An 11,784-nucleotide genomic window follows, 5' to 3' on the forward strand; every position below is an offset into this window, starting at 1 on the left:
AATGTCACGGCTACTAGATTGCTTGGTGAACTCACTTGACCTTAGTGGTAACTGTGGCACGATGGTGCTTGAGAAATCATCAAAACTTAAAAGAAAAATGAGAAGATAATGGTTAAAATATGAATTGGTAAATGCTAATATAAATCAGCTGCTATTCAAATTCCTTAGTTGACTTGTTCCCTATTTAGGTAGTGACTCCGTCAGATATGGAAATGTTGAGGCATCTGACATTACCTCCAATGTGGAAAAGCATCCACACATATGGAACAAAGAATTGCCCCAAATAACAAAAATGCAGCTGCAATTACAGAACAAACACGTTGCCTCCTATATCTCAGCACAGTTGTTTCTGTTTTATGGTACTTATTTATGTAGTGACTAATCTGGGATATTCAGTAATTTGCAGTGGGGCCTTTCATCATTAGTGCGAGTTAACAAAATGGTTCTGTTGTCCTTAGTAATTAATTTGGTAGGAAATGAGGAAGATACAACACATTCTGAGGGCTGCTCAATACCTTTATCTTCCTTTACTGTCTGTTAGCTAAATATGGAATTTTAATTTCCTCCCTAATTATCAAAGAGTCTTTTGCTAAATGGGCATGTCCCTGAGGCCCAATTGCTTACTTTTACTCTCTAGATTTTCACCTCACTTTTTGGAAATGCATTCTTATGAACTTGCAAGTCGTTCACAAACATTTCTATGGTAAAAAGTTAAACACTAACCAACATTAAACAGCTCCAGAGTGTGTTGAGCCTTCTGCCAGCCCCTTCACTGATGTCATTTCATTTGTTCCTCCGGGTAACCCTTCAAGGGTGGCAATGAAGGGATGTGGTTTGCAAGAAGAAAACTGGCTTGTTGAAGCTTCTTCCTCAACATCCTGTTATCTAGGTGGAGAAACTGAGATTCAAACTTAGTTTTGTTTTGAAGCCCACAGTGTGGTTGGTCTGGCTCTAGAGCCCACATTCGCTGTGAAAAGGTAACATTACTGTACTTATCCTGAGTTGGTTTAGCTTTGGCATCTCATCAGTGCTGCTGCTCAGTTACTGCTTGTCATATGATGCCTAACAGTTTTCTGAGTTTTACCTTGGCATGGAAGATTGGAGATATGCAAACTTGCATGCCTTTATTTCCTCTAGACTTTGCCGATTCTATGGAAACCAAAACGATTTTTTATATCAAAGTCGATTAGCATTTTTCAGAACAAGTAGAACACCTGAAATTTAAGTTAAAACTGTAGCTACCATTTGTGTCTGCATTCACATCATTCTAACAATCTAGATGATGCCTTGCCATAGTTAAATATCTACATTGCCAACATGATAATGATGATGACAGTAACAACAGCAGCTACTCTTTACTCATTGTGAAATACATTCTAGGCTGGGTAGTTAACGATTATCGAAGTTTTTCAAATGAGAAAAATATGGTATAGCACAGTTAAGAAATTTACTCAGGGTCTTACAGCTAGTAAGTGGCAGTGTTAAACCAATATTTTAAAATTTGCTCATAATTGGTTAACATTTTTCTGTTTTCTTGGTATTAGTTATATGTACAGAGTGAGTATCCTTTGAAATGTTTGGAATCAGAAGTGTTTTGGATTTTTTTATTTTGGAACATTTTGCATATACATAATAAGATATCTAGGGGATTGGATCCAAGTCCAAACATGATATTGATTTAAGTCTTAAATACACCTTGAAAACACAGACTGAAAGTGATCTTACACAATATTTTAAATAATGTGCATGAAACAAAGTTGGTGTACATTGAGCCATCAGAAAACAAAAATGCCACGACCTGAGCCACCCATGTGGATAATCTGTGGTTGTTTGGCATCACCGTCTTTCATGACTGAATTTATGTGCTACCTATAAGCAATTTTGTGTATGCTGATTCACACATCAGTACTTCACAGTCACAAATATGACATACTGTTAATATAGTGTAAAAACAATGTGTGCAGGCTAGCTAAGCAGCACAGAAGCATCACCAGATACCTGTATCAGCTGCTAACCAACAGCAACAACAAACAATGGCAGGTGTCTGTTCTTCAGCTACAATGCTGTGCTTGATTAAGCACACCGTACAGTAACTCCCTTGGGAACTGTGAATAAACGGTGTGTTGTGCACCTGTGTTTTGACTGCTACCCATCACATGAGGTCAGCTGTGAAATTCCCGCTTGTGGTGTGATGTTGGCATGAATTTTGGAGCATTCTGAATTTTAGATTTTCTGATTAGGAATGCGTAATCTGTAGTATTCTGTTCTAATGTTGGTCTTTGGTGTTGCAATTATTGTGTTAAGATTTTGTTTGGTCTATCAAAAGTCATAATGATGACTACTGAAATGATTTTGAAATCAGTAGTTATTCTTTGTAAAAGGAGGATTTTGAAGATCCAATGTCTTTTATCAAACATCTCACCAGTAAATTAAGAAGATCTAAATCTTGCCACACACACACAAACACACACACACACACACACACCCTTATGCTTTAAAATCTATCTTTCCAATGTGGTTCCCACTGCACATCTTGAGGGGATCTTCTCTGGATTTCCACATAAGCATTGTTCAGAAAATGCTTTTCAGGCAGAGCTTTGTCCTCCAGAAATTCCATAGACTAGCAGGTTGTAGGTACCATTCACGTGGATAACCAGCTCTGAGGGCAATGATATGAATTTAGATTAAAACAAATGAAAATACCATCTGTTTTGTGGTTAGGCTATTCATCTCACTATAATGGTAGACCATCTATAGTCATCTATGCTTGGCTTTGGAAGGATAACCCTGATCAACACAAGTATTAAATAATGACAAGCCCCTAAATAGTTAAAGCTTAATCCAAATTGCCAATTACCTTTCCAAAATTTTGAAAAGAGAACTTTATAGAAAAGCTTATTAAATATGGCTAAAAAGAATGTTTTTGGTACAGAAGGTGCTTTTATCCAGTAGTTTTCAAGAACTTCAAGTACACGTTTCAATTCATACATTTCATTCATGCATTACACAAATACAGAAAGTAAAAATTATAAAGTTAAATCTATTCTTCCAGCATTCCTAATGAATTCTTCTGTGATACCTCCTTGCTGGATTTTCACATTCCAACACAGAGACCGTTGGTTAATCCAAACTTTTGCCTTCACAAATTAGCCCACATGGCTTAAATTTAAGAACATAATTTGTTTTTTTGTTTGTTTGTTTGTTTTAGTTCTAATCTTAGCATGTTAGGGAAACTGTGGGGTTTCTCTAGAAAAGTTACAAATAAAAGATAAGCCTCTTATTTTACAAATTCCTCAAGGTGTGATACAAACTTGATCGGAGCAAACACTTCCCTATCAATGCAATGGATTCCCCATATAACTCCCATGGACTGTGTGTGAGGCTCTTGTCAGAGAGATGATCCAGTCAGAAGTCAGAAAAAAGAAAGGCATTTGAATGGTATTTCTTTGCCAATTCATATTCACCGCCTCTAAACCCTATACTCTTATTTTCTGCTGGAAGTATGAAAAGGGAGGGAATAAATGTAGGAAGAAAGGAAACTGCGAAAATAGGGAGGAAAAGAACAGAGAAGAGGAGAGAGTGGAATGGAAACAGGAACAGGACATTTCTGAAGGGTATTATCCACTCTTGGCTAAGGTGAAGTAGCAGCTAATTAGGCTATGGGGAGACCCAGAGCACCCTCTTTTCTTTTAGCAAACCCCCACGAGCTTATGGCTTTTCCCCCAGCTGGGCAGGTTTCCTATTGAAATCTGTCTCCTGGAGGACTCTGGAGCACGTCTCTATCTGAAAAGCCTCGTAACTGTGACCTTGACAAACATCCCTTGCAGGACCTTGAGAGATGGTAGAAAATTTAGAGTTTTGTGATTTACATGCTGCAGAATAGATACCTATTGATCTTTTTTTTCCTTCTAAGAAAATGTTCCTTTGATACATTCTGGCTGAAGAATTGGAAAATATGGGTTTTATTTTGTTTCGATTTGATTTGGTTTTTCCAAAGGAGAGATAATCGGTGAATTCCACTGGGGATGGGTGGTTGTTTAGCCAAGTGTAATGTTCCATAAATTATCTGGGCCTTGAACTATTGCCATGTATGATACATGAGTGATACACACAACCCAAAAAGGATTTATTCTTTATTTTCCCACCCAGTTTCAGAGGGAGAAAATAACCAGGAGCCAGGAAATAGTGATAATAAACTTCACTATACCTTAAAAACCAATGTTATTCTCATTTTCATTAAAGGACAATGAAGCTCATGAAAATAATCCACATACTGATACTATTCATCATCTTCCTCATCACAAATTAAAAATGATGCTAATTAAAAAGGTATTCATATATGTAAAGCTGTTGTTTTTAGTCTTTTTAAAAAAGCTCATACCATATATATGTATATACGTTTTTTCAGCTTTACTGAGGCATAATTGCCATTTTATGTATTTAATGTATACAACATGATATTTTGATGTATGTATAGATTGTGAAATAATTACACAATCAAGCCAACTAACATATTCATCACCTCACACAGTTGCCTTTTTCTGGTGTAGTGAGAACACTTGAGATCTACTTTCTTAGCAATGTAAGTGTACAATACATTATTACTAACTATAGTGACCATGCTATACAGTAGATCTCCAGAACTTACTCATGTGATAACTCAAAGTATGTATCTTTGTCTTAGCCTTTTTTTTTTAGTGGTTGAAAAGAAATAATCAAAAGTTAGTTTTTTTCTGCCTTTTAAAATTTACTGTTTTTAAAGCAGCACAAATATAATATTTGATAAATGTTACTTTTATATATGTGATTTCTGGCATATGAAAATAATCTCTTGTTAGCTGTTTTTAAATGTCTTTTTTCTTGATGCTAGTTGAGATTTAAAGGAGAATTTAAATGTAAAAAATCTAGAACAGTTATCTCAAGAAAAGTGCCTCCAGCCTCTTAAGCCATTATTTACATGAGGAATTGCCAGGAGCAGCAGCCATTGAATGCGAAGCAAGAGGCTGCTCTATGTGTATGTTTTATAGTTCCCCTTTGAACCTGTCTAATTCCAGTGTGAAAATAATGTTTGGCTCTTTATTAGCTAATTTGAATCTACTTTGTGGTTTATATAAAATACATTCTCCTAGGAGTTTATAATCCAGGAAATGTTCTTGATACTTTGAAACTCTTTTGGGGAGACATGTGGTTACTTCATTGAGGACTGCACTTCTTCGAAGGAGAATGTGACCAAGTTCGCTGCTCTACAAGTGCTAGGGAGAGCGTGGAGGCGCACTCAGTGAAATGACAGGAAACATACAATACCCGTGGCATTTTACTTTAATCCCAGATTTTCCTAAAACAGTCGTTATAACCACCTTGAAAATAAATCGTTTAACATTCTTTCCCCTATTCATGAAGTAGGGTACAATATTATTTAATTTATAGCACAAGAATTTTGTGAGACCTGGAAATATTGATAATACAAATTAGGAAGAAAATAAAAACTCTGGCTTATGTCTTAGACCTTCAAAAGTTAGAATTTGTGGAAAATTAAGTAGCAAATTAATTTGTAGCTTGTTTTATTTCTCTGTTTTTATTACATGGGGATTTGTGGTTATAAAATAATTATAAACTTTTAGAACTGGAAAGATCTTAGAAATAATCTATTTTACGAATGAGGAAATTAAAATCAATATACGTACAATGATGTGCCCACATCTGCACAGCTCTGGAAAGTTCTCTTCCTGTTGAATGTATCCTTTTTTAGCTTTCAGGGAAGATCGAAAATCATAATTATGCACCCTGCCTCCTCTGTTCAAATCCCACTCCAACCTTACTTATGACTTGGAGTTTGGCAAAAACTTCCATGTTCCAACAGGACCTTGCCTCCCTGGCAGTAGTAGATTAACTAGGGATACTGATGGCGCAGTAATTCCAGGGATGATCAAGAGAGCCAACAATGTTGAGTGCTTCCCATAAGCCATAGTCTTTGAAATCCTTAATATGTGTGAGTTTGTTTAACCCTCACGACGATATGCTTTGGGATAGATACCACTATCATCTCTATTTTCCAAATGAAGAGCCTGAAATGGAAGTAAGTACTTTACTGAAGCCCACACATATGGTAGGGGCAGGGCTGTAATTCAGTGTGGCTCCAGCATCTGTGCACTACATAGCAGGCATACAGTTAGGACAATCTGAGGACAATTATTGGCCCAAAGTTGGGCACGGGACATAAGCCAGGCCAACAGGAGCTATTTCCTGGAATTTTTCAAACAGAATCTAGAGAATGAAGTATGTTTCTGATGGGCAGGGTGAGAGATGTCCACCACAATTCTGTCAGGCCATATTTCCTGCTAGGCTGAGGAAGCTCGTCAGAGAGAAGGAAGCTAACACATGTGAGGAGTAGAGATTGGAGAAGGCGAGAGTGTCGTGGGATGGGCACCTGGCTGCATACCTGCTGTTCCCTGCAAAGCTTTTAGTCGATTAAATGTTTCTCCCTTTTCTTTTTTATATGTAAATCAGAGGAGATTGCCTAATTAAAGTAATTATTGATAAGAGCGAATCCCTGCTTAGCTCTTACTATGAGTTAGGCATGGTTATAAGTGCTTTTTATCTCATTTATATCACTTAATCCTTAAGATAATCTAACGCAATAAGTTCTACTTTCAATTCCCATTTTATAAAGGAGAAAACAGGGGCACAGAGAAGTCACTTGCCCAAAGGTATATGGTTAATACCGTGACTACCTGCTGTAGTCAAACTGAACATGGGACTGTTTGACTCTGAACTTGGTTCTTAGCTCCATGCCCCGTATTCCCCACATGACCTAGAACCCACTGCATGGAGATCTCCATTAACAGTGAAAACCAAAAATCTTTCCCAAGTGATTCAAAAATACTACCAGAGACAGTTTTTATATCTCCTCTATGGGGCTGACAAGATTTAGGAGTGACAGTTTGCTGATGATATTACCACAGTAAATACTTGTAATATCAATAGTGATCACATATATTTTAAACATTAGCCATTTATTAATAATAATGATGGTGACTATTTTTTCTAAAGTGCAATGCACCTTAAAAAATTTAAGAAAATAAATGATTCTGATTTATTTTCCTCAAATTGTGTAAGAACATTTTTATGGATAAGAAAATGATAACTTAGAAACAATTAAAACTTGAAATAATTATTAAATAAATTGGACATGGGTTTCACTGAAATAACAGTTCTGGAAGTTCAACCTAGGCTTTTCACTCTCAGTCACATGTGCTTTCTCACAAGGCACTGGAAAAGCGTCATGCAAATACAAATTAGTCTCATCCTAAAAGGCAAAGTAAACAGCAAAACATGTACCCAGTGAATGTAATGAGCAGTCACACTGAAGCTCAGGCTTAAGCTACGGGAAAACTCTTTTTATCCTTTAGCAATAAATCCTGTTTTGACTGAATTATAGTATTTGGATAATTGATCCAATTCTCTTCACATGCGCATTTATTATTAGTGTTCTATGTGGTCTAGCTAAACCCCAGTGATTCATGAAGAGCAATCATAACCACAGAAATAAGGCTCCAAGATGTACTTCCAAAGCACAGGCCAAGCATTTGAATAAGCTGCAGCCTGCCTGTACCATTAATCTTGCATGCTGCTTTGCAAGTGTGTTCTATTGGATTATATTCAAGGCCATTTCGCCATGTGTTCAACTAGACTGCAAATTCTTTAAAGGATGGACCTCAAAGGGGTATCATGAAGGAAAACATGCAATATTACAAAGTGCTTAGCTCTTTATAACTCTTCTCTTGCTTTTATTCATTCAACAACTATCCACTGACCACCTCCTTGGTGCCAGGCCTGAGGTTCTGGAGATATAAGCAGTGAGCAAGAAGTGGACGTGGGCCCCATCCCAACAGAGCTTACATTCTCAGGGAGGGAAGCAGCCCATAAGCACACTAGCAAGCAAGCAAGCAAGTAAGTATGCAACAGTAATTAGTGCTCGGAGGGAAAGTGTGGCATGCAGTGCCTGAGATCCATCCTTGGAGAGGAGATGTGGAGGCTGAAGCTTAAATGCTGAGACAAGCTGGCCTTATGAGGATCTGGGCAGGAATGTTCTGGGTCCCAGGAGCAGTTGGGGCAAAAGCATTGTGGTTGAAAAGCACTTGCTTCATTTAAGAAGCAGAAAGGATGTCCATGTGGCTGTGGAACCGTGAGTGAGCTTGAAGAAGAGTGGGAAAAATGGGAATGGAAAGGTAGAAGAGTTTTAGAAAGGGGCCACATGGTTTATGTCCTAAATCAGAGGTAGACACACTTTCTCTCTAAAGAGCCAGAAAGCAGATGTTTTGGACTTGGTGGACTGTGTGGTCGCCATGGTGACTACTCAGTTCTGCAGCTGTGATGCAAAAGCAGCCACAGGCGACGTGGAAATGAATGGGCATGGTGTCTGCGAACACAGCCTAATTTATTGGAACAATAAACTGGGAATTTTATTTTTAAATTTTAATATTAAATCTCTTTAAAAGATAACCCGGCCTTTATGGAAATATGATGATGATATGATAACCGTGAAGAGTGCACATTCCCTGTGCAGTTCAGGCAGAGCTCTCAGTGCGGGGTCAAGTTCAAAGAAACGCCAACCTCACACCACAACGTCCTTGTAAAGTTGTTGTAAATCTGTATGGAGGTACCTCAAAAAAATGCCAACAAAGGCTCCCATTCATAATAAACAAGCCTTCCTGAAATACTTGTTTATTACGTTTTTCACTTATTTCACATACAGACAGAGCTGTCGCCTAGCTCTTTTCTTCAGTTTTAACTTATTTGTTATTGATATGTGATATTGATTGATATCAATGTATTAATATATTAATATACAATATATTGTATTAAAATATCACATGTACTCCAAAAATATGTATAATCATACACAATACAATGTATAATGATCGAATCAGGGTAATTAGGATCTCCATCACCTCAAACATTGATCTTTCCCTTGTGTTGGTAACATTCAAAATCCTTCCTTTTAGCTATTTAAAAATATACAAAAAATTACCATAATTTCCCTCCTGTACTATTGAATATTAGAACTGATTTCCTCTATCTCTTTGTATTTTTGTGCCCATTAATCATATCTCTTTATCTGCTCCACTCCACACCCTTTCCAGTCTCTGGTAGCCATCCGTCTACTCTCTAGCTCCGTGAGATTATTATTTTTTTAGCTCCTCCACGAGTAAGAGCATGTGATATTTATTTTTCTGCACTTGGCTTATTTCACTTAATATAATGACCTCTAGTTCCATCCATGCTGCTGTACATTATAAGACTTCATTCTTTTTTATGGCTGAATAGTACTCCATTGTGTATATGTATCACATTTTCTTTGTCCATTCATCTGTTGATGGCTACTGAGGTAGATTCCATTTCTTGGCTATTGTGAATAGTGTTGCATGTCGCCTAGATCTTGCTTCCTCTCTCCAAACTTCCCCACACTCACCAAATCCAGCCCAGGTGGACTTTAATTATTGTACCCATTAAGTCTTTGGAATCTATTGTTTCCCTTTATACCAGGAGTTTTCAGTGTTCACTGAGTCCACTGCTTTTTGAATGATGCCCAGTCCTCAACATGTCCCCTTTTTCTCCTTCCCTATTTTAGTTTACATGAACCATACATACAGTTAATTGTTTTCAAACACCCAAACCTCCCTTGCCACTTTCTCAATGTCATTTTCGCCAGCAAAATACGTAACTTGGTCAAACCCAACTGTCTGTGTATTAATCGTGGCTGGAGAACAACGCACGCCCTGGCTGGCTGCATTCTGTCTAAAACCATCCATAAGTCTCCAGTGGCAGTTTCCATGACCCTACAATCCAGACATCTTTGCCTGTACAGTTTAACTTGCTCACTTTTTGATACAATTTTCTGCCCTTTTTTTTTCAGATATTTCCAATGGTTTAAAATTTCAGCGAATTATCTTGTCACATATGTAATTGAGAGAATGGAAGTTCTCAGAATGAAACTTTCTCTTTGTTCACCATCAAATCTGTCTAAATACTTCTACTTCTACCCACACACTTTGTCTTCTCTTCTGTGATGGTGGATGAGGATCCCCGGCTCCCATCAAAGGCAGTTCCTGGCTGGTGCTCCGTATGTTGCCCTTCTCCACTTCTAGGGACTTTGACTCAGCAAATAATGCTCCCTTTTCTGCATCTCAGTTTCCCATCCTCTTCTGAATTATTATTTTCAGCTTGTTCTGTAGATTCCTGGCTTAAGAAAACTCTCCCTTGAGCACACTGACCCATGTCTTCCTATAGCTACTGGCCCATTTCTCCAATTCTTTGCTTCACATTTTCTTTACAACCCACAGTGTCTGAGCTTCCATTACACCACTCCACTGAAACTGCTCTTGTCCAGGTCACCAGTGGTACCAAAGATGCCAAAGGCACCTGTGGTGTTGGCCAATCCAAGGATCACTTCTCTCTCCTGGTCATACTTTGCCTCTCAGACGCATTTGACATCAATTCAATTCCAAAGATTCTTTTCCACCACATTGCAATTCTATGCTTTCCTTTTCTGTACTTCACTGATCACTGCATTCTTCTAAGTCAAATTGTTGTCACCTCTTTTTGTGCTGAGCACCTAAATATTTGGGTCTCAGAGTTTAGTTCTAGGTCCTGTAGTCTTCAGTATCCAAACTCTCTCACTAGGATAGCTCATCCAATATGGAGCTCTTAATACTATGTATATGCTAATAATGTTAATATTTATACCCTCAGCCTAACCCATTCAAACTCATGTGGCTGCCTGCCTATTTGACACTGTTGCTTAGATGTCTAATAGACAGCTCAGTTAACTTGCGCAAAAGGAAACTCTTGTCGATTTTTTAAAATCCCTAAATTGATTACTCCTCCTGTCTTTCTATCCACCCAGTTATTAAAGACTAAAATCTAGAAACCATCCTTGATCTCTTTTACCCTCAGATTCCACATCTAACCCAACGTTGAGTCTTGCTAATTCTATCACCAAGATGTATCTGGTATTGGTCTACTTTTCATCTCTATGGCAACCTCCATACTCCATGTCATCATCATCACCACATGGAATGCAAAAGCTTCCTAATCAGTGCCTTGTTTCCACTCTCGCTCCCATTAATCTGCTTTATCTTCTATTTTGTTTTTGCAAGCTAGCATAATGCTTTTAAATAGCCTGAAGCAGATCACATTATGTTATTTCTCTGCTCAAAATCTTTCAACGGCTTCTAGTGCCTTTTGATTCAAATGAATCAAACTGAAATCCTTCATCAGAGCATACAGGACCTTGTTTTCTCTCCATCTTTGTCTCTACTATTGTCAGTCTTGGTCACTGCAATCTAACTAGTAGGTACTAGTTGACTTGGATCATTTCCGTATCACCTCCCTGCCAAGGCATCCACAGACCACTCAATTTAAAGTAATTCAATCCTAGTCAAGTTTTAATATTATTATTCTGAATTATTTTAATATTATTAATAAGACTATTCTGTATTATCTTAATATTATTTTTCTGTATTATAGACTTCTAGTCTTTAGTCATAACTGAAATTATTTTATTTACACAAGTACACAAGAGTGGAGACCTCATCTGTTTAGGTCCTCTGTGGTATTCCAGCACCTAGAACTATGTCTAGAACAGGATAGAGAGTCAGTAAATGTTAGATCAATGTATGATCCCTTTTACTTTCCTAGATTCTCCAACTCTGCATCTCTTACCTTTACATTTAACCTGCACATTAAAGGCCCAAGGATTGGTTGAGCAGAGACAGACGTCTC

This window comes from Homo sapiens, chromosome 4 (genome assembly GCF_000001405.40).
Source record: "Homo sapiens chromosome 4, GRCh38.p14 Primary Assembly".
NCBI lineage: Eukaryota > Metazoa > Chordata > Mammalia > Primates > Hominidae > Homo > Homo sapiens.